The sequence below is a fragment of the Homo sapiens genome, chromosome 13 (genome assembly GCF_000001405.40).
Source record: "Homo sapiens chromosome 13, GRCh38.p14 Primary Assembly".
Taxonomy (NCBI): domain Eukaryota; kingdom Metazoa; phylum Chordata; class Mammalia; order Primates; family Hominidae; genus Homo; species Homo sapiens.
Genome location: NC_000013.11, coordinates 23,952,612 through 23,975,921, shown reverse-complemented (window position 1 = coordinate 23,975,921; position 23,310 = coordinate 23,952,612). Strand labels below are relative to the sequence as shown.

The 23,310-nt window shown below is 43.4% G+C and overlaps 1 long non-coding RNA gene across 5 annotated transcripts; it reads right to left on the bottom strand.

Moving 5' to 3' along the window:
• Positions 1-6,422: 6,422 nt before the first annotated feature.
• LOC105370115 (uncharacterized) lies at positions 6,423-21,470 on the bottom strand. Of its 5 annotated transcripts, none has more exons than XR_941753.2 (5): positions 21,309-21,470; positions 18,562-18,625; positions 17,184-17,319; positions 11,436-11,520; positions 6,423-7,282 (listed from the first exon to the last, which is right to left on the bottom strand). It is a non-coding gene; the product is annotated as an uncharacterized LOC105370115 (long non-coding RNA). The 5 variants fall into 5 exon arrangements; XR_001749790.2 differs by having other exon boundaries at positions 6,666-7,282; positions 18,562-18,622; XR_001749789.2 differs by lacking the exon at positions 6,423-7,282 and adding an exon at positions 8,548-8,695.
• Between the last annotated feature and the right edge of the window lie 1,840 nt (positions 21,471-23,310).

Sequence of the window (23,310 nt, the reverse complement as noted above, 5' to 3'; positions counted from 1 at the left end):
TCACCTGAGGTCAGGAGTTTGAGACCATCCTGGCCAACATGATGAATCCCCATCTCTACTAAAAATACACAAATTAGCCAGGTGTGGTGGCAGGTGCCTGTAATCTGTTACTTGGGAGGCTGAGACAGGAGAATCACTTGAACCCGGAAGGTAGAGGTTGCGGTGAGCCGAGATTGCGTCACTGCACTCCAGCCTGGGCAACAAAGAGCAAAACTCCATCTGAAAAAAAAGAAAGAAAGAAATTGACAAGTAATTCTAAACTTGATATGAAAATAAAAAGGACTCACAACAGCTCAACAATTTTAGAAAGAGAAGGTTGGAGGACTTAAACTACCTGATACGAAGACTGACTATAATACTTCAGTTATCAAGAGTGTGTGGTATGGGGATAAGGAAAGGCACAACAATCAGTGGGACAGAGTCCAGTCCAGAAGTAGACCCACATACGCATAGTCAACTCATGTTTATTAAAGCACCAAATTTTCATTCAGTGAATGAAAGGCTAGTGTTTTCAACAAACAGCACTAGAATAGTTTCTATATGGGAGGAAAAAGGGTCTGGACCCTTATCTTTTATTGTATAACAAAATTAACTCAGAATGGGTCATAGACCTAAATTTAAGAACTAAAATCTTAAAACTTAAGTCAGAAAAAAATAGAAGGATATATTTGTGATATTAGGTTAGGAGAAAGTTTCTTATTAAGACATAAAGGCATGAAACAAAAAAATTAATAAATTAAATTTCATTAAAATGAAAACCTTTTGCTCTTCAAAAAACCCTCTTCAGAAAATAAAACGGGAAAAAAGTTTGCAAAACATGTTTCCAACAAAGGCCTGTGTCTTGCATATATAAAGAACTATTACAGGCCGGGCGCGGTGGCTCATGCCTGTAATCCCAGCACTTTGGGAGGCCGAGACAGGCAGATCATGAGGTCAGGAGATCCAGACCATCCTGGCTAACACGGTGAAACCCCATCTCTACTAAAAATACAAAAAATCAGCCGGCCTGGTGGCGGGCGCCCGTAGTCCCAGCTACTCGGAAGGCTGAGGCAGGAGAATGGCGTGAACCAGGAGACGGAGCTTGCAGTGAGCTGAGACTGTACCACTGCACTCCAGCCTGGGAAAAAGAGCGAGACTCCGTCTCAAAAAAAAAACAAACTATTACAATTTACCAATAAGAAGACAACTCCATCAAAAATGGACAAAAGATTTAAACAGGCCCTTCATAAGAGAATATACATAAATAGCCAGTAACTTTTTTTCTTTTTAATTTTTTAAAGAATAGAGATGAGGTCTCTCTATGTTCCCCAGGCTGGGCAACTCTTGAGCTCAAGCAGTCCACCCTCCTGGGCCTCCCAAAGTGCTGGAAGGTAGAACAACTGGAATACTCATCTATTGCCAGTGGTTAGTTACACTGTACCTAACATTCATTTGGAAAAACAGGTTGGAAATTTATCAGGTTAAAAACACATTTACCTTTTCTTTTCTTTTTGTAGAGACGGGATCTCTGTTGCCCAGGCTGGAGTGAAGTGGCACCATCTTGGCTCACTGCAACCTCCGCCTCCCGGGCTCAAGCAATTCTCCTGCCTCAGCCTCCCAAGTAGCTGGGATTACAGGCACACACAACCACGCCTGGCTATTTTTGTATTTTTGGTAGAGACGGAGTTTCACCATGTTGCTCAGGCTGGTCTTGAACTTCTGACCTCAGATTATTCACCTGTCTTGGACTCCCAAAATGCTGGGATTACAGACATGAGCCACAACGCCCGGCCTATATTTTGCATTTTTTGTGGTACAATTTGCATTCAATAAAATTCACAGGCCAGGTGCGGTGACCCAAGTCTGTAATCCCAGCACTCTGGGAGGCCCAGGCTGGCGGATCGCTTGAGCTCAGGAGTTTGAGACCAGCCTGACCAACATGGCGAAACCTCGTTTCTACAAGAAAAACAAAAATCAGCTGGGCGTGGTGGTGCAAGTCTGTGGTCCCAGCTACTCCAGGGGCTGAGATGGCCTCAAGGACTGTTTAAGCCCAGGGAGGTTGAGGCTGCAACGAGCCATGATTGCCCCACTGTACTCCAGACTGGGCTACAGAGTGAGACCTTGTCTCAAAAAAAAAAAAAAAAGTAAAAATCAGTGTCTTTCAAATATAAAAAATAACTGTCAATAGAAGATTCAGTGGGAGAAAGGACACAGCGTTGGGTGTCCTCTGTTTGTCTCCAGATTAACTCTCACTGGACTCCCTCCTGCTCTCGCCCCAGCAAGCCTCGACAGTATTGATCCTAGCAATAGACTCTCCTGCCCTCTTGCCTCTGGTTGGGCTTGGCCACTGGGAAGCCCCAACAGGAGATCTAAGGAATGGAGGAGAGTGGGGTAGCATACTTATTTTCTCTTTTATCCCTATTTTCTGGAGGGATCACAGTGGGCAAGGGCAATGTATAGCTCTTATCAGTTGGCCTCTCCAATAAGAGTGCTGTCTCTGGAGTACAGCAACTACTCCTTCCAACCATTCATGCCTAGGTGTGAAAATGAGGGACCAGGACTACTGTTACTAGCTCAAAGGTAATACTCTTTTTCCTTGGTTTTTCTTTATTTTGTTTACATTTTTGTAAATATCACTTTTTATCTCTCTAGTTAACCAATATAAATAGAGTCATTTGTTCCCTACTGGAACTCCTACTGATACAGAGTTCACTTGTCACAATAGCAACAACGAACAATCCATTGGAATTAATAAGTGAGAAATCACATGAGCTATATAAAGAATACATCAAAATCAAAACAAAAATACTTAAACAAATGGAAAAACATTTGTGTACTTGGCAGTGCTCAATGGTGCCCAGGCTGGAGTGCAGTGGCGTGATCTCGGCTCGCTACAACCTCCACCTCCCAGCCGCCTGCCTTGGCCTCCCAAAATGCCGAGATTGCAGCCTCTGCCCGGCCGCCACCCCGTCTGGGAAGTGAGGAGAGTCTCTGCCTGGCCGCCCATCGTCTGGGATGGGAGGAGCCCCTCTGCCTGGCTGCCCAGTCTGGAAAGTGAGGAGCGTCTCTGCCCGGCCGCCATCCCATCTAGGAAGTGAGGAGCGTCTCTGCCCGGCCGCCCATCGTCTGAGATGTGGGGAGCGCCTCTGCCCCACCGCCCCGTCTGGGAGGTGAGGAGCGACTCTGCCCGGCCACCCCGTCTGAGAAGTGAGGAGACCTTCTGCCTGGCAACCGCCCCGTCTGAGAAGTGAGGAGCCCATCCGCCCGGCAGCCGCCCCGTCTGAGAAGTGAGGAGCCTCTCCGCCCGGCAGTCACCCCATCCGGGAGGGAGGTGGGGGGGTCAGTCCCCCGCCAGGCCAGCCGCCCCGTCCGGGAGGGAGGTGGGGGGTCAGCCCCCCGCCCGGCCAGCCGGCCCGTCCGGGAGGTGAGGGGCGCCTCTGCCCGGCCGCCCCTACTGGGAAGTGAGGAGCCCCTTTGCCAGGCCACTACCCCGTCTGGGAGGTGTACCCAACAGCTCATTGAGAACGGGCCATGATGACAATGGCGGTTTTGTGGAATAGAAAGGGGGGGAAAGGTGGGGAAAAGATTGAGAAATCGGATGGTTGCCATGTCTGTGTGGAAAGTAGTAGACATGGGAGACTTTTCATTTTGTTCTGTACTAAGAAAAATTCTTCTGCCTTGGGATCCTGTTGATCTGTGACCTTACCCCCAACCCTGTGCTCTCTGAAACATGTGCTGTGTCCACTCAGGGTTAAATGGATTAAGGGCGGTGCAAGATGTGCTTTGTTAAACAGATGCTTGAAGGCAGCATGCTCGTTAAGAGTCATCACCACTCCCTAATCTCAAGTACCCCGGGACACAAACACTGCGGAAGGCCGCAGGGTCCTCTGCCTAGGAAAACCAGAGACCTTTGTTCACTTGTTTATCTGCTGACCTTCCCTCCACTATTGTCCTATGACCCTGCCAAATCCCCCTCTGCGAGAAACACCCAAGAATGATCAATTAAAAAAAAAAAAAAATTTGTGTACTTGAACAAGAAACCTCAACATAATAAAGATGGCAATTCTTCCTTAGTTCATTCGTAAATTAAATGCCAATAGGTATTATTGTTTTGTTGTTATTGTTTCATTTATTAAACTACTTTTAATATTCATGTTGAAAAGCAAACAAGAATATTAGGAAAACTTTGAAAAAGAAGTGCAAATATTAAAACATAAAGTTGCTATAATTATAAACAGGAGAAACATGTTATCAAAAAGTCCAGAGAAATACACCCAAATACATACAAGAATTTACAGTAAAAATTTCATCTAAAATCAGTGAAAAAAAGATAATTTATAATAGACAGAAATGTATTTGGCTCATGCTTCTGAAGGCTTGGAAGTCCAAGATCAGGGGGCTGCATCTGGCTAGGACCTTCTTCCTGTGTCATCCCATGGTAGAAGGACAGAAAGGCACAAAAGCACACATGAGAGAGTATGAGAGGAAGGAGGTGAACTCATCTATTTATCAGGAACTCATCCCAAAACGACACTATTAATCCACTCATGAGGGCAGACTCATCATAGCCTGATCACCTCTTAAAAGTCCCACTTCTCGACACTTGCATCGGGGATTAAGTTTCCAACACATGAACTTTGAGAGATACATTCAAACCATAGCAAATGGGAAAAGCCTTTCTGATTACAGTTGTTCCTCTGTGTACGTGGCACATTTGTTCCAGGATCTCCCTCAGATACTAAAGTCCATGATGCTCAAATATATATATATATATGTCAGAGTCTCGCTGTCGCCCAGGCTGGAGTGCAGCGGCGCAATCTCAGCACACTGCAAGCTCTGCCTCCCGGGTTCACGCCATTCTCCTGCCTCAGCCTCCCAAGTAGCTGGGCTTACAGGTGCCCGCCACCACGCCCGGCTAATTTTTTGTAATTTTTTTTTTTTTTTGGAAGAGACAGGGTTTCACTGTGTTAGCCAGGATGTTCTCAATCTCCTGACCTCGTGATCCACCCACCTCAGCCTCCCAAGGTGCTGTGATTACAGGCGTGAGCCACCGTGCCCAGCCTCAAATCTCTTATATAAAATGGTGCAATATTTGCATATAACCTATGAACATTAAATCATCTCTGTACTTATAAGGATTACTTCTAATACCTAATATGGTGTAAGTACTATGTAAATAGTTGTTATAATGTATTGTTTTAAAATTTGCGTTATTTTTATTGTTTGATTTTTTGGAATATTTTCAATCCATAGTTTGGATGCAGAACCCACAGATACAGAGGGCCAACTGCATGATATACAATCCAGAGGTCATTATAAAAATTGTTGGCTGGGCACAGTGGTTCACATCTATAATCCCAGCACTTTGGGTGGCTGAGGTGGGTGAAACACTTGTGCCCAGGATTGTGAGACTAGCCTGGGAAACACGGTGAAGCTCCGTATCTACAAACAAAAAATATAACAATTAGCTGGGCGTGGTGGCCCACACCTGTATTCCCAGCTGCTTGAGAGGCTGAGGCAGGAGGATTACTTGAGCCTGGGAGATAGGAGGTTGCAATGACCCATGATTGTGCCATTGCATTCCATCTAGGGCAACAGAGTAAGACCCTGATTCAAAAAAAAAAGTAAGCCTATATGATGAAAACACTATAAATAATGTCAAAAGACGAACTATGAGTAAAACAGTGTTCCTCTAGAAATCCATAAGGAAAAAACCAACAATCCAATAGAAAAAATGACCAGAACAACAGTTAACAGAAAAGGAAATACAACAGCATTTTAATCATCAGAAAAGATGCTCGACTTTGCTCATAATAAAAAAAATTCAAATTAAAACAATACTAAGAAATCACTGCTCACTTATCAAGTAGGAAAACTGAAAAATATAAAAAAGTACTTCTGGTGAGGGTGAGGGAAAACAGCTCCCATCATACACAGCTCTTAGAAGTGTAATTAGTACCAGCACTGAGGAGGGCTGTTGACAATAGTTATTAGAATTTCAAATGTGTTTACTTTTTGAACTACTTCTTCTATTCCTAGATATTTACTCTGCGGAAATATTTGCACAGTTGCAAAATTTTATCTATACAAGCTGTGAGAATTGCACATACCAGGATGGAATCACTCTTTTCAGACGCTGACAAAACAGGGCTGGGAATGCACAAAAGAGGAGGCTCGTGCTTGCATGTCTGAGATAAGAACTGCTTCCAAAGGCTTCCTAAACACCTCCCAAGAAATCCCTTCACATCTGTCACACATCTCCTGTCTTGGAAGTCTGGCATGTTTCACACGTATACAAGTATTTTTAGGTTGGTGCAAAAGTAACAGCAGTTTGGACTGTGAATTTTAAATCATTATAACTAGGCTCAAACATCTTTATTAATCAAAATAGGAACCATTACAACCAACACATTTTTGTCAATGAGAAATAAGTTTTTTTTTTTCTTTTCTTTTTCCTTTTTTTTTTTTTTTCCTCTCTGAGATGGACTTTCACTCTTGCTGCCCAGGCTGGAATGCAGTGGTGCAATCTCAGCTCACAACCTCCGCCTCCTGGGTTCAAGTGATTCTCCTTCCTCAGCCTCCCAAGTAGCTGGGATTACAGGCATGCACCACCACGCCTGGCTAATTTTGTATTTTTAGTAGAGACGGGGTTTCTCCATGTTGGTCATGCTGGTCTCGCACTCCTCACCTCAGGTGATCTGGCTGCCTTGGCCTCCCAAAGTGCTGAGATTACAGGCGTGAGCCACTGCGCCCAGTCTGTTTATTTCTATAGTGTAAAAATCCATTCTTCAGGATTCAATAAACTCTTGAAAGCATTTTCTGCATCCTGCTGGTCCTGAAAGCATTTTCCCTGCAAAGAGTTGTCAAGATGCTCGAATAAGTAGTAGTCAGTTGGCGAGAGATCAGGTGAATACGGCAGATGAGGTGAAACTTCGTAGCCCAATTTGTTCAACTTTTAAAGCGTGAGTTGTGTGACATGTGGTCAGGTGCTGTCATGAAGAAGAATTGGGCTTTTCTGTTGATCAATGCTGCCTGCAGGCGCTGGAGTTTTCAGTGCATGTCATCAATTTGCTGAGTACACTCCTCAGAGGCAATGGTTTCACTGGCATTCAGAAAGCTGCAGTGGATCAGACGAGCCGACGACCACCAAATAGTGACCATAACCTTTTTTGGTGCAAGTTTGGCTTTGGGAAGTGCCTTGGAGCGTCTTCTTGGTCCAACCACTGAGCTGGTCATTGCCGGTTGTCGTATAAAATCCACTTTTCGTCACATCACAATCCAATCAAGAAATGGTTCATTGTTGCTGCATAGAATGAGAGAAAACGACACCTCAAAATGGTGATTTTCTTTTTTTAAATTTTCAGTCAGTTCACGAGGCACCAACTTATCGAGCTTTTTCACCTTTCCAATTTGCTTCAAATGACAAATGACTGTAGAAACTGTATCACTAGGCTGGGCGTGGTGGCCCACGCCTGTAATCTCAGTACTCTGGGAGGCCAAGGTGGGCAGATTATTTGAGGTCAGGAGTTCAAGACCAGCCTGGCCAACATGTTGAAACCCCGTCTCTACTAAAAATACAGAAATTAGCTGAGGGTGGTGGTGCACACCTGTAATCCCAGCTACTCCAGAGGCTGAGGCAGGAGAATCGCTTGAACCCAGAAGGCAGAGGTTGCAGTGAGCAGAGACTACACCACTGCACTCCAGCCTGGGCAACAGAGCAAGACTCAGTCTGAAAAAAAAAATGCATCATGTATGTTTATTGCAGCACTGTTCGCAATAGCAAAGACTTGGAACCAACCCAAATGCCCATCAATGATAGACTGGATAAAGAAAATGGGGGCACATATACACCATAGAATACTATGCAGCCATAAGAAAGGATGAGTTCATGTCCTTTGCGGGTACATGGATGAAGCTGGACACCATCATTCTCAACAAACACACATGGAACAGAAAATCAAACACATGTTCTCACTCATAAGTGGGAGTTGAACAATGAGGACATGTGGACACAGGGAGGGGAACATCACACACTGGGGCCTGTCGCAGGGTGGGGGTCTAGGGGAAGGATAGCATTAGGAGAAATACCTAATGTAGATGACAGGTTGATGAGTGCAGCAAACCACCATGGTACCTGCACATTCTGCACATGTATCCAATAACTTAAAGTATAATAATAATTTTAAAAAGGCCGGGCATGGTGGTTCACTCCTGTAATCCCAGCACTTTGGGAGGCCGAGGCCGGTGGATCACAAAGTCAGGAGTTCGAGACCATCCTGGCTAACACAGTGAAACCCCGTCTCTATTAAAAATACAAAAAAGTTAGCCAGGCTTGATGGCACACGCCAATAGTCCCAGCTACTTGGGAGGCTGAGGCAGGAGAACTGCTTGAACCCAGGAGGTGGAGGTTGCAGTGAGCCGAGATTGTGTCATTGCACTCCAGCCTGGGTGACAGAGCAAGACTCCATCTCAAAAAAAAAAAAAAGAAAAATAGAAAGTAGGTAAAATTAATTGTAATAATATATCTCATTTAACTAAAAAAAAAGTGCATTACTAGACACTCTTTAGGGCTGTAATAATTCCAATAAAATACTCTAAGGAATACTTGCCCCAGTAACAGCATCTCCGCCGATAAACTGATGACAACTCTGACTTCATGCCTTTGGAACCAATAAACTCTGTTCCTAAGTAGGTTACATGAACCTCTCTCTTCCTGCTAAAAAAAAGCGTCCCTTTACCTTTCAGCAGATGGCACTTGTGGGTTGCCACTCTGTGAATCTCTGATAAACCACTTTTTCCACTCCTGAATAAATTCAACATATCTGGAAGTAAGATTCTTAAGTGTCTTTTTTTTTAGGTTGACATACTCTGTGGTCAGAAGTGGGATGAAACAAGGGTACCTTTAAAACAGATCGGCAACCTTTGGGACAAGACGAGGTACACACAATTGAGCTGTACTTCCGCGGATTGCCTTTTTTCTACCCAGGTACATCTCTCAGGTCAGGCTTCCTTCCTTTGATAGCAGCTGTCTGTTGAGCTTATTTAGGACCTGAGTGGGTTAAGTCACTGTAGTAAAGGCTCTCGTATCCCTTCTGGGACTATAAAAGACTTTTTATGTATTCTGGCAAGTCACGCAAACTGTCTTTTTACTAGAAATGACTTGCCAGAATAGATAAAAAGTCTTTGTTTGTGTTTCTGATCCTGGTAAATGAACTTTTGGTTTCAGTTTTGTTCTGAGTTGTTAGCATATTCTTATACATTTGTTTACTGCTTGCTTTTTCCCCCATTTGTTTCTGAACATCTTTCAAGAACAAAATTTGCTTTCTAAAATGGTAGGCAAGGGTTGACCCTTTAAAAGCCATTAGGGTAGTTGCCACCATTCTGTGAGGGATGTCAGTCTCCAGAGAAAAAGTCTGTTGTTAGAATCAACTGGTACAAAGACAGAGAAAAGTATCACTTGGGGGCCTGCCAGTTAAAAAAAATCATGTATCCAGGGAAAACTTGGTCATGGGGTGCGGGATGGGCAGTCAGTGCGCAGGCTGGGGCCAAGTCAGACAAAAATCCTGTGCCAGGCACACTAAAACAAGCACCGGTCCAAACCCCTAACATACAGAAATCGGCAAAGTTTGCAGGTTAAATCACTGCCCAGGTAGCGTCGGTCAGCATGGAGTACTCTGATAGATATGCCACCAATCAACAAGATACATAAAAGAAGAAAGATTTCAATACCTCTCCTGCTCAACTCAAGATAAAGATACAGGGAGGGAGATGGGACAGATGTCTTAATAACATCAAACCAAAAAACCCATGGGGTCTTTTGTTTTTGTTCTTGTTTTGTCATGTAAAGAATGTATCCATGCATTAAGGAATGTTTTTGCTGTGATTAAAAATAAAGAGTTGTATTTTTGAAAAGAATGTCTTATCTCTTTGAGGTATACACTTGAAGTGGTTGCAAATTAAAGTATATGATGTGCAAGTTTGTTTTAGAATAACCTGTCAAAGTGGGAGGGGGTGAGTACATATGAAACAAAATTGATGAAGTTGGTAATGGCTGAAGGTGGAAAATGAGTTTAACTCTTTTATTTTTTGCATGCTTAAAATCTTCCACGATAAAAATGTTTTAATGTAGCTATGGAACTATACAGGAAGGAATACATCTTCAAAAACAAGCTTTCTACTAATAGAAGAGCCACTAACAGTACTAATGGTACTCTAGTAATAGACTATCAATTTTTTACTGTATTTATCCCCTTGTTTCAGACTCATCTGTTTCTGTGTTCATCATTCCTTCTAGGCGGTGTTTCTCCATCTCAGCACTATGGACATTTGGAGTCAGATCGTTCTTTGCTAGGGGGTTGTTCTGTGCACAGCAGAATGTTTGGCAGCATTCCTGGACTCCACCTACCAGATGCCAGGAGCACATTTGTTCCTTAACCCCTATTTATAACAATCAAAAACACCTACAGACATTGCCAAAGGCCCAAGGAGAGGAGAGGGCACTCGAAATCACTTAGACATGAGCCATCTAATGCCATCCAATTAGATCAAATGCCTCAAGGAGCGTTGTCAATTTTGCGCTCCTGGTGATGAAAACAAGGATTGGTACATACTAAGTGTTGACTAAAAATCTAGTGAATAATTAGGTTGGATGCCTTACCAGAAGCCATAGGTAAATAGAAGTATAAAGGAAAATAAACATAAAGTAAAGCTGGGTGGCAGTTCAGTTTGCTGACAATGGCATCAAGTTTATTCTTGAAGAATTGTATGTTAAAAAAAATCTAACTAATGTGGTTTGTTATCAGTAGAATTTATTAACTGTAATTTTAAAATTATATGTCAAACATTTATATATATTTGTTAAACACATATTTATATTTAGTTAATAATAAAATTATACACACACACACACACACACACACACACACACACACATATATATATATAATCTTTTTTGAGACAAAGTCTTGCTCTGTCTCCCAGGCTGAAGTGCAGAGATGGGACCATAGCCCACTGCAGCTTCCAACTCCTGGGCTCAAGTGATCATCTTGCATCAGCCTCCCAAATAGCTGGGACTACAGGCACCACCATGCCTGGATAATTTCTTTCTCTATTTTTGCAGAGATGGAGGTGTTGTTATGTTGCCCAGACTGTTACTGAATTCCTGGCCTCAAGCTATCCTCCTGCCTTGGCCTCCCAAAGCCCTAATATTTTATATAAAATGTGCATATTACTGTATTAGGCTTGAATGTTATTACTCTCAATTATCCAAACTTGAATTAAGTCCACTGCCTGACAGATGACATTAACATATCATAGTATTTACTTATCCAGCAATCTCAACTCTCTCAATTCATTCACGCTGTTCTTACAAAATACCATAAACTGGTGGCTTGTAAACAACAGAAATTTATTTCTCACAGTTGGGAAGTCCAAGATCAAGGTGTCAGAAAACTTACTGGCTGAAAAGAGTCTGCTTTCTGGTTGATAGAGGCTGCCTTTTCACCATGTCTCAACATAGAAGGGGCCAGGGAACTCTATTAACTGTAATTTTAAAATTAAATGTTAAATTTATATATATATAAAATGGGATTGAAGCCTTTCTACAAGAGCACTAATCCCATTCCTGAAGGCTCCACCCTCATGACCTAGTCACCACTCAAAGGACCTAACTCCCATCATCATATTAGGGGTTAGGATTCAACCCATGCACTTCTAGGGGACAAAAACATTGAGTCTCCACATTCTAATACAGAATAGAAAGCATATCGTAAGCAAACAAAAACTTTACACAGCCACAATTAGTCATACAAAGAGCACACTTTTTTTTTCTTCCGGGAACATCCAATATGCCCTCACTCAGAAACAAGCTGCTCTTACTTTATATAAATAGATATAAATTGAAATGTATATAGACACACACACAAACAAATCTAACAAGGTTAGCTCTTTCTTTTTAGAAAATCAAATTGAGAGAGAGAGGAAACAGAAACAAATGCACTAAAAGCAGCAAGAAGTAATACTTGGTACTCAAACAGCAAGAAAGAGAAAAAAAGCAATATAAGTACTCAACAAAAACAGCATCTGCAGCAACAATAAAAACCCAGAGTGCTGTATAGTGCTGATAGTTATTGAACACATATTCATATCTTTGGAATAACAGAACACATTCTATTCAATAGCTATTATTTTGTCAGTCAGAACAGGGAACAGATGGCCCCTTGTGAGCGTCTGTGGAACAAATGTCAGTGACAATGGCAACTCTGAGTCCACAAGAAGAAGTGAGATTGTCCACTTCATTACCTTTAAACAGGCATGGGAGCAGGAGAACTATTTAGACATACCGCTCCCCAAAAAGTTTTAAAGAGTTTTCTTCTTAAGGTGATGGTAAACTTTATGTGAAAATCCCCTTTTCTAGGAATGCTGTCAAAATGAAAGATTATTGGGGTTTATTCTAGAAATGTGAAGTTAATGTTTAAAAATCAATCATCGTGGCCAGGCGTGGTGGCTCATGCCTGTAATCCAAGCACTTTGGGAGGCCGAGGCAGGTGGATCACCTGAGGTCAGGAGTTCAAGGCCAGCCTGGCCACTATGGTGAAATCCCATTCTACTAAAACTACAAACATTAGCCGGGCGTGGTGGTAGGTGTTCCTGTAGTCCCAGCTACTCAGAAGGCTGAGGCAAGAGAATTGCTTGAACCCAGGAGGTGGAGGCTGCAGTTAGCTGAGATCATACCATTGCAATCCACACTGGGCAACAGAGCAAGACTCTGTCTCAAATAATAAAATAAAATGAAAATAAAATCAATCAATGTAATTCATCATATTAATAAAAGAGAAGAACCATATGATCTTCTAGGTAATACTGAAAAAGTAATTTATATAATTTGAGATCTGGTCATAAATAAGCAAAAACTCAGTACACTGGGAATAAATGAAGCATATTTACAAAAAAAACTAGAAAATCATCATGTTGTTTAATGGTGAAATATTGAATGATTTCCCTGTCAATTAGGAATAAGAAAAGGAAATCCACGATCACCTTTTTCTCTTCTTTTTTTTAAACAGGGTCTTGCTCTGATGCCCTGGCTAGAATGCAGTGGTGTGATCACAACTCACTGCAACCTCCACCTCCCGGAGGTAACAGCTTGCAAACATTCACGAAATAACAAAAGACTAGATATAAAAATTCTCCTTTGGGATGTTTAAAAATCCCCAAATTGATCCCATGAGTATATTTACTCTCATTACAAATATATTTATCTATAACTGATCCTTAAAATTACAAATAAGCACCAAACAGATTTGTTGCTTTTCTGCCTTTTAAAGTGTGTAGAGCAGCAAGCTTTCCTGAGAGCACGAGGCAGCCTTTAATTGAAGGTGCTAGGTTCAAGGCACCATCTACTATCATTTGGGATCACAGGAACATGGGTATACAAATGGCACCAAGGTCCAGAAAACGTGCCTGGGTCCAAAAAAAGGGGAGGCTCTTTGCAAGTCAAAGATAAAAGAAAAAGTAGCATCATCTCCGACAGCTGACCCCGAGTATCCAGCTACAGCATCACAACAACTTGTGAGATTAGTTCCTAAAAGAGACGTAGACTTGTCCCAATACAGTCTGTTAAAGTTCTTACTAACTAGAGAAGCCACAAGTAACAGTAAACTGATATTTTATTAAAGTGACTGCTATATGGAAGTAAATATCTAAATGTTTTAACATGTTTTACCTGTCATGTAAATTAATTTTCACAAGCCCGATTCAATTAGCTCATCATAATTCCTAGGTTTATTTACCCCAGTTCAGCTCATCTTGACTTAGATTCTTGGACCATTCTTCCGAACTATTTATTTCATTATAAAGTTCCTTTTAAACAATTGTAAACTATTCATAATAATAAAGAATTATCTTGCACCAGGAGGTTGAGGCTGCAGTGAGCTACTATGATTGTGCCACTGCACTCCAGCCTGGGTGACAGAGAGTAACACTATCTCAAACCTTTTTTTAAAAAAAGTGATTAACTCACAACTGAGAAAATAAAAGGAAAATGTCATTATTGTGTTAGAATAGAGAGTAAGAATATAGACACCTATTCTTCCATATAGACCAGACAGCTCAATACCATTTCACTCAAAGAAGAAAAAAAGGGGGGGAAATGGTAGGTGTGGAGGCACAGAGGGCAGAGTATTAAAGCCTTTTACTGAAATGACTCCAAAGTTCAGTGTGGAAGTAAAGTTTCTACATTTAAAAACTTTACATAAATTATATGAATTACAATTTTCATAAAAGTCAAAATGAAAGGTTCTGCATAGGATGAAAGATATGCCTAAGCAACATTTCATATTTGTACAAGGCCATTGAATGCCACAGATACTAGTAACACATACAAAGCTTAAGTCTATGGGACACTGAACAAAGATTTCAGTCTGGTATTCTGTAAGTCCAAGATTGTAAACTACTCTTATTCTACAAAAGCTGTAATGATGTAATAGAATTTTTATTTTTTAAGAATTGAGACGAGGCTGGGTGCAGTGGCTCATGTCTGTAATCCCAGCACTTTAGGAGGCAGACGTGGGTGGATCATCTGAGGTTAGGAGTTCGAGACCAGCCTGACCAACATGGGGAAACCCCATCTCTACTAAAAATACAAAAATTAGCCAGGCGTGGTGGTGTGTGCCTGTAATTCCAGCTACAAGGAAGGCTGAAGCAGGAGAATTGCTTGAACCCAGGAGGTGGAGGCTGCAGTGAGCTGAGACCACGCCTCCGCAACAGAGCAAGACTCTGTCTCAAGAAAATAAAAAAAAAAGCAAAAACCTTTTATAACCCTTTTGAATTTAGTCAACGTTCACACACAGATTTTCTTTTGCAAGATTAATTTTTTAGAAATCTTCCATAACTTGTTTAAACCATTTTATCTAGTTCAAAGCAATCTAACTCCAGGAAAAAAGAATTTACATTTTGATGACATTTGCATTTTACCAATAATCTTTGTTTTTATTTCTCAAAGATTAAAGTCACATGAACCAAAAGGTACCATAGCTTTTTTTCCCCTTTAAAAATATTTGATGCTAGTGATTACCCTTCTTAGGGTCAACTAATTGGAGCTTTTCATAGACATCACACACACAACACATGTATAACTACACAGAAGATCCAGTAGCTATAGGATTTTTCATTTGCCAATCTCCCAATTGGATTACTGGCCCCTAGGTGGAGCCCTTTAAGAGCAAGACTAGGAAAGCATGCAGTTTCTAGGGACCTAATAAACAGGTATAGCTGGAAGACAAAAACAGATTTTTGAGAGGGATTTATCCTCCTCTAATTCCTGGGCCTCCATGAGGAAAACAGAGGTCTCTCCCACAGTGGAATCAATGGCAACTTTTCTGTTTTTTTCCAAGGAGTCCCAGGCCATGAGAAATTATCTTAGGGCCTCTCATACGTGCATTAAAAGTGGCAAGGCAAAATGGAGAAAAATAATTCAGTTGATTGAGGAAAAACCTTTCTCCAGCAAAACAAGATCCAGGAAGAGAAAAACATAAAGGCCTTTTAAACATACCTGTAACTTGGATATTCCCTTTTAATTAAGCTGAGCACTCTTTAAGAAAAGCCTTTTAAATTCCTTATTACCTGACTTTAGTCACGCCACGTGGCCAATATTTCTGACTTTCAAGCTTTACCAAAAGTAACCTCCTAGATGTTCAGAGCAAGGAAAATTCAAGGTGATTTGTGGAGGGGAAGAGAATCAACAAATGGCAAAGGTCAAGCAGATATCAAACCAGAAAGGACTCATTCCCTAAGTCAGGACTGCACCCAGGCCACCACTGTAAAATGGCAGAGGCTAAAACAGAACATTGCCACCTGGTTACAGGTCACACTCCCAAGGAGGTTGGTTAAACAAGGTGGAGGGCTGCAGCAAAGGTTTGCCATTGCCCAGTTTGCCAGGCTGGCTTCAATAGCAGGCCTATGGAGTCCTGGGCCTACATCACATCCTAAGATGCCCCTCTTCCCTGATAGAACCATACATACAAAAGTCTTTCAAAGCACACCAGATTGGCTATGGCTTGACCAACTTCACAAATCCTTTTTCATAATTAAAACTTTACTGAGAATATAAACAGTGATAGTTGTCACCCTGGCCTGGTTAAACATCTTTTCTCCACACCGTCAGCAGTTAACACAGCCCTGCATTTTAAGCTGTTTGGAAACTATCAAGAGGAGACTCAGCTACCAAGCCAGGAGATAAGGCTCTGTTGTGCAGAGCTTCTTGTGAAAATGTAACAACCACTAGCAAGTTTTCCTAACTACCGAGATAGGCAGGCCTATCCCTTAAAGGAGTAAAACATATTTTACTTCTAAAGAGCTCTTGGCCTGAGCAAATCTAAGGAACACCTACTACATGCCTCATGTTTCCCATGACTTCTAGAGTTTACAAGGACAGCTTCAAGACCAAACCACCTGATGACATTAGTGTTTATGCTTTTTAAAAAACCTGAATTTAAAGGAAAACAGACCAAAAAGAATGCAATGGGCTACCTAGGCCAAGTCTATTTTCTCATTAACAGGATGATTCATCTTCAGAGCTCTTACATTTCACCAAACCCTAGTCTAAGAAAACCCTGAGTGAAACTAGCCAACATTTAGTTAAGACAGTCTGATTATCCTTATTTGCATGACAGCAGCTCATATGAAGAGACAAATGTTCCTGAGATTATTACAAATAATCGCCCTTCAAATACATGCTATAAAAAATGGTATTAACATTTGCTGAGTGACTGTGCCCCATGCATCATTCTGGTACTTTCATACATAATCCTCAGTTTAACGGAATTTTATAAAAATGATTTAAAAGTCACTTTACCTCTCAAATCAACAAATTTGCATTCATTAAACAGATAAGTAAAACGTAATTCATATGTATGTATTCTATTTTTTTCTTAACATTGTTTTGAGCTTTCTCTCTCCAAAACTACCATAAGGGCATCAAAACTCAACATCAAGAGTTCTATCCTTCTGATTTTCCCACTGAAGGATGACAGAAAAAGCTCCATAGCTGTCATCTAAAATCTATTAGTAAGTACTTTGGCTGAACCTTGAAACTAAGATGTCACGTATCAATTACACAGGAATGAGCTGACATTTGCTTCCTGCCAGGAGCAATGCACAGATTCAGAGAATGGTTTCTCTGAATATATAGAAAATAAAACATTTACCTTTGCAGGGATCCGGGACTTCTGAAGCTAGTATTAAAAGCTGTATGTTAAAAATGAGGACTTAGATTTCAGGGAGTCTGTGGAAGTTCTAGGCTTCTTCAGTGTGGGGTCTCATTAGCCAGTCTGTGTGAATGTGCTGAAACAAAGAAAGGATGCTTTCCCTTACTTCTAGCAGAGTTTGACAGAAGTAATGAAGGAGGTGGTGATAAATCATTAATTCTCTCCTAATACCTTCAGAAAAAGACTGAAATGCTAATACTAAAAGGGCCCTTATTTGCCATGTCTCTCCAGCCCTTATTTTAAAAACAAGGAAGCTGAGGAAAGGCAGACTGTGACGTTAGTGAGAGCTTCCAGACCCTTTGTCATCCTTTCCCTTCCTGTATGCCATTTCAGATATGCTGTCCACCTGGAGAAGATTTGCTTGGTGGGACTGGGGCTTGGGTTCTCTGCAGCTGAGTCAAAGCAAATGTAAATACGACGCGTCTTACATATTTGACCCACACCAGCACACAACAGAGAATTACTGAGAGTAAGAGTGTTTCCCACTCTCAGAGAGCAGCTGATCCTTTCCACCATGGCCTCCAAGGAATTCTAGGTAATCCAGATGAACTGGCATTCATCCCAAGTGCAATTTCCATCACTCAGGACAATCTGCTAACAAAAATGCCCTGTGCTTCAGAATTAGCTTCGGCCTTTGCCAGCTAAGAACAGCCAGCCACAGACTGGCTTACTTTGAAAAATATAACTTAGCTATGATACAGACACTCTAATATAACAGTGGTCTACAGTCTTAACATAAAATAAAATTAAGTTGAAAGAACTTTCCTACTATGTGAGATCTGTGATCCATATTTAAATATGAGAGGTTTATAGCATACATACACATATATACACACACGTATATATCTTATTCTTAAATTAGAAAAAATATACTAAACTATAGGTACATTTCCACATATAGTATAATAAGAACATTTATTTAATAAGCTTTTCATTTGTTTTTGTATAGTAATTAGGTTGATTCATCCATCTTTCTATATTAACAAGAAGAGCATATGCAATCCCCCTGAACAACATTTCTCCAGGAATAAAATTAATTATTAAACTGTCATGAAAACAACGAAGTTATGGAAGGCAGGGTTCCGGAGACTGATGTGTGAGCAGGAGGGGCTGAAGGAGAGGCAGTGAGTCTAAATAACAATGTCAGGAGGCTTATCTCTAAAGTGAAGGGGACGAATCAGAAGCCCCGACAGAACAGGATGGCCCATGTCCAGCCCTGCGGTGAGCACACATTGTGGAGATCCATCCACATCAGGCTCAATGCGAACATTAATCATCTATGCGCCTAGATCATACAAATGTTTGATTTCTCATTTACCTTTCTGTAAAGGCTCCTTTGAGTTTATCCAGGCAGACAGATTTTAAAGACAGTTTCTCTTCTGCTGTACAAATGGGTAAAGAGAGACAACAGCTTTGGCACGACTCAAGGGCTTTTAAAAATAAATTTTCAGCTGGGCATGGTGGCTCACGCCTGTAATTGCAGCACTTTGGGAGGCGAAGGCGGGCAGGTCACGAGGTCAAGAGATTTAGACCATCTTGGCCAACATGGTGAAACCCCGTTTCTACTAAAAATCCAAAATTTAGCTGGGCGTGACGGCATGCACCATAGTCCTAGCTACTCGGGAGGCTGAGGTAGGAGTACCGCTTGAACCTGGGAGGTGGAGGTTGCAGTGAGCCAAGATCACGTCACTGCACTCCAGCCTGGTGACAGAGCAAGATTCCATCGTCAAAAAATAAAATAAAATAAATTAGTAAATCTAACTTTCATCAGTGATTCTACATTGTTTGTTCTGTTTCTCTAGCATTAGCTACAAGCCATTTTCCATTCTAAGAACACATTTAGCCTATGAGAGAGAACAGCTTTTTTCTTACATACTTGTATGTTCAATTTTGTACTTTCTCCAATTCACTCTTCCTTAATATTCTTGATTGGACATGTGCACTTCTTCAGCCTTCTATAAAAATGAGAAGTGGGCATATGGATGAATTACTAATACAGCAAGCACATGTTGCATTTTTATGCCAACACCACCACCAATAGCTTGCCACAACCAGCTGGAAATCCTCATTTAAGTCCTCTAGGTGTTAGAGCACTTGGGTCACTGTTTTAAAGTGCACACGGGGATAATCTCCTAACTCAAAAATTCTTTAAATTCTTAAAAAGTTAAAACTTTTAACATAAAAAGAGCTTCTAGGTATCTAGAAAAACAGCTAAGTGAGTGACAATGCCAAGAGCCTCCTCCTCACTAAATGCCCTTCCTTAAAGAGCAATGAAAAACGTTTAACAGCAAAAATGCCAGCAAGGAACATTAAATCTGATGTGATACAATGCAGGGTGTGCCTTTTGGCATGTACGGTCAGACACCACAGCAACAAACTCCAAACCACGCAAGGCTGAGTCAGATCACAGGTCACACCTCTGCATGCTGATTTTCCCTAGTTCCACCTGAGAGAAGCAGTTGAGAATACAGGGCAAAGTACTTTATTTCTAAGCCTTAGCCTCCCTGTCTGTAAATTATAATCAGACCAACTTCACAGGGTTTTTATGAGCGTCAAATACAATGATGCAGATAGTTTCACTCCAATGGCTTGCACAAATAATGGTGATGGTATTATTATGCTTTTCCCCATGCGTCTACCCAAAAACTTTCCCCACCGTTTTTTCCCCATCATCATTTCCCCCGCTCCCTGGCCAGCCCCTCCTGCTCTCATCACCTTCTTTTGCTCCTCCATCTACCCAAAAACACTTTCCCCTGTCTTTTCCCAAAGCCTTCTCTCCACTCCTGCTGCTCACCACACTCTTTTCCCCTCCAGCTACCCAAAACCTCTTTTCCCCATTGTCTTTTCCCCCCTCCTCCTTGCCACCCTCTTTCCCTTCTCCATCTATCCAAAAACATTTTCCCGTTTTTTTGCAAAGCTTTCTCCCCACTCCTGCTCACCACTCTCTTTCCCTATCTATCTACCCCCCGAATTTTTCCCCACCCTCTTTTCACAAAGCCTTCCCCATTTCCTGCTCACCCTCTTCTTTCCTGTAGCCTGCTTGCCACTCTCTTTCCTCCCTCCATCTACCCAAAAACTTTTTCCTCACTGTCTTTTCTTTCTCCATGGTCTTTCTTTTCCGCCCACTGTCTTTTCACAAAACCTTCTCTCCCTCCAGCTCGCCACCCACTTTTTCCCTCTCCTGCTTGCCACCTTCTTATCCCCCTCCATCTACCCAAAAACTTTTCTCTCCAGTCTTTTCTCCACACCATCCTTTTGCAAAACCTTCTCTCCCTCCTGCTCACCATCCTCTCTTCCCCCTCCCTCAGCACCGTCCTTTCTCAGCACCCTCTTTTCTCCTCCCACTTGCCATCCTCTTCCCCCCTGCATCTACCCACAATCTTTCTCCCCACCTGTCTTTTTCTTCCTACTCTGTTTTCCCTTACCATCTTTTTGCAAACCTTCTCTCCCTCCTGTTCCACCTCATTTCCACCCCCTCACCATCCTCCCTTTCCTCCTCTCACTTGCCACCCACTTTTCCCCCTCCATCTACCCAAAAACCTTTTTTTTTTTTTTTTTGAGATGCAGTTTTTGCTCGTTACCCAGGCTGGAGTGCAATGGCGCAATCTCGGCTCACAACATCCGCCTCCCGGGTTCAAGCAATTCTCCTGCCTCAGCCTCCTGAGTAGCTGGGATTACAGGCATGCACCACCATGCCTGGCTAATTTTGTATTTTTAGTGGAGACAAGGTTTCTCCATGTTGGCCAAGCTGGTCTGAAACTCCTGACCTTAGGTGATCTGCCGGCCTTGGCCTCCCAAAGTGCTGGAATTACAGGCCTGAGACACCGCATCTGGCTGAAAAACTTTTTACCCACCATCTTTTCCCCACCATCTTTTTGCAAAAGCTCTCCCTCCTGTTCACCACCCTGTTTTTCTGCCTCCATCTACCCACTTTTTTCCCACCATATTTTCCCCACCGTCTTTTTGCAATGCCTTCTCCTGCTCGCCCTGCCATCTTCTTTTCCCTTTGGCACTCAGCACCCCCTTACTCCTCCATCTACCCCAAAACTATTTCCCTGCTCCTACCACTCCAGCCACGCTGCAGTTTCCATCACCACCACCAACCACAGCGACACAAGCCGCAGTCGTGCGGACCCCAGCATCCAGCGTGTGGCAGGTGGCGTCCCCTCTCCTGATCCTCTATGCCGGGAATGGAGCAGCTACTCGGGAAGACAAGGCAAAGCAGAGAATGGGCTGCCTTCAGCATTACATATATATACTGAGGTTATGCAAATGACGTTTCTGGACTACATGTTCTGATTGGATCAGAGAAAACTTCTAGGCCTACTCTGATTGGGCTTTATTATCATGTTCTGATTGGATAAGAGCAGGTCTTAGAACAACCAATCAGAGCATGAAAATAAAGTCCAATCAGAGTAGGCCTAGAAATTTTTCTCTCATCCAATCTGAACATAGAGTCCAGGAACCTCATTCCCATAATCTCAGTATACAAGGTATGCTGAGGGGGCCTCCCAGCGTTCCAGCCTCTTCGGCGTCTGCTGGACTGAGTGCTGCGTGCTCGGCTTAGAAAACGCGTGTAGAGGGAGCATGCTGGAGGCTGGAGCCTGCACCACTGTAGCTTGCTTCACTGTGGTTTGTGGCGACGGAGGCTGCGGTTGGTAGTGACGGAGACTTCAGCTCAGCCAGAGTGGTAGGCTGCGGGGTAGGCGCGTTATCTGGGCAGCCACGGAGTGCGGGTTTGGGTGCTGTTAGGGCTGCACCGCCCATGTGTGCACTGCCTGTGGCATGGGGGGGCTGGTTTGGGACCCTATCCAGGGTTGCATTGCTGGCAGTGGGGCGGGTTAGCAGCGTATGAGGGGCTACACTGCCGGTGGAGTGCGGGGGAACAGGGAAGCAGGTTGTGTCCGCTATTGAGCATTGCCAGTGGTGGGGAGATGGGTTGGGTGAGCTATCCGGGGCTACGATACTGGCAGTGAGTGGTGGCCGGCGGGGGGAGCAGTTTGGGGGGGCTGTCTGGGCTGCAGTAGGGAGCAAGTTGGGGGTGCTATGGGGCTGCACTGTCTGCCTGGGAGGGGGCAGTTTGAGGCACTAACAGGCACTGGAATGCCCATGGCAGGGACGGGTCGGGGAGCTATTCGGGGCTGCACTGCTGGTGGTGTGGTGGTGGGCAGCAGAGGTGGCAGCAAACAGCAGTGGCCTCCAAAGAAGGGGCCATTCTCCTCTTCCTGGACTCCCTACTCTAGAGGGCGACTTCTTTCTGCTCGTGGTCCAGCGCAGCAGGCAAACAGTGTTTACTCGGGAATGCTGAGCACAGCAGGGCCCCCACACCCGCCATGGTTCCCGGGCCGAGCTTTCTCACTCTATGTTGCAGAGACCACCTGGGACCCCCAGGCATGAAGTAGCGGACAATGCGGGGAGGGGAGGTGGCTGGGGTGTGGGACAGGGCCCTGCAGATGGAGTTGTTGGGAATGGGCACTTGGGTGGAGAGGGCTGGCTGGGTCTGACTTGGTTGTGGTGGTGAGAGGTGACAAAGTGCTAGCAGCCCTCTCTCGCTCTTGGTGCCTCCTTGGCCTCGCCGTCCATTCTGGCCATGCTCAAGGAGCCCTTCAGCCTGCCACTGCGCTGTGGGGACCCCTCTCTGGGGCTGGCCAAGGCTGGAGCCAGCTCCCTCTGCTTGCAGAGAGGTGTGGAGGGAGAGACACTGGCGGGAGCTGGGGCTGTGCCTACAGGCACTCGCAGCTGGCACAGGTTCCGGGTGGGCACAGGCTGGGCAGGCCCCGCACTCCACACAGCCGGCAAGCACCTGCTGGGCTTGATCGGGGGATGAGCTCCCTCTGGGCTGCCAGAGTGCCCAGGCTAGGTGCCGCAAAGTCCCGCTACGAGTGCCAGTGAGAGGTGAAGCCGAGTGGGCTTCTGGGATGGGTGCAGACTTGGAGAACTTTTCTGTCTAGCTAAAGGATTGTAAATGCAGCAATCAGCGCTCTGTGTCTAGCTAAAGGATTGTAAACGCACCAATCAGCACTTTGTGTCTAGCTAAAGGTTTGTAAACACACCAATCAGGGCCGGG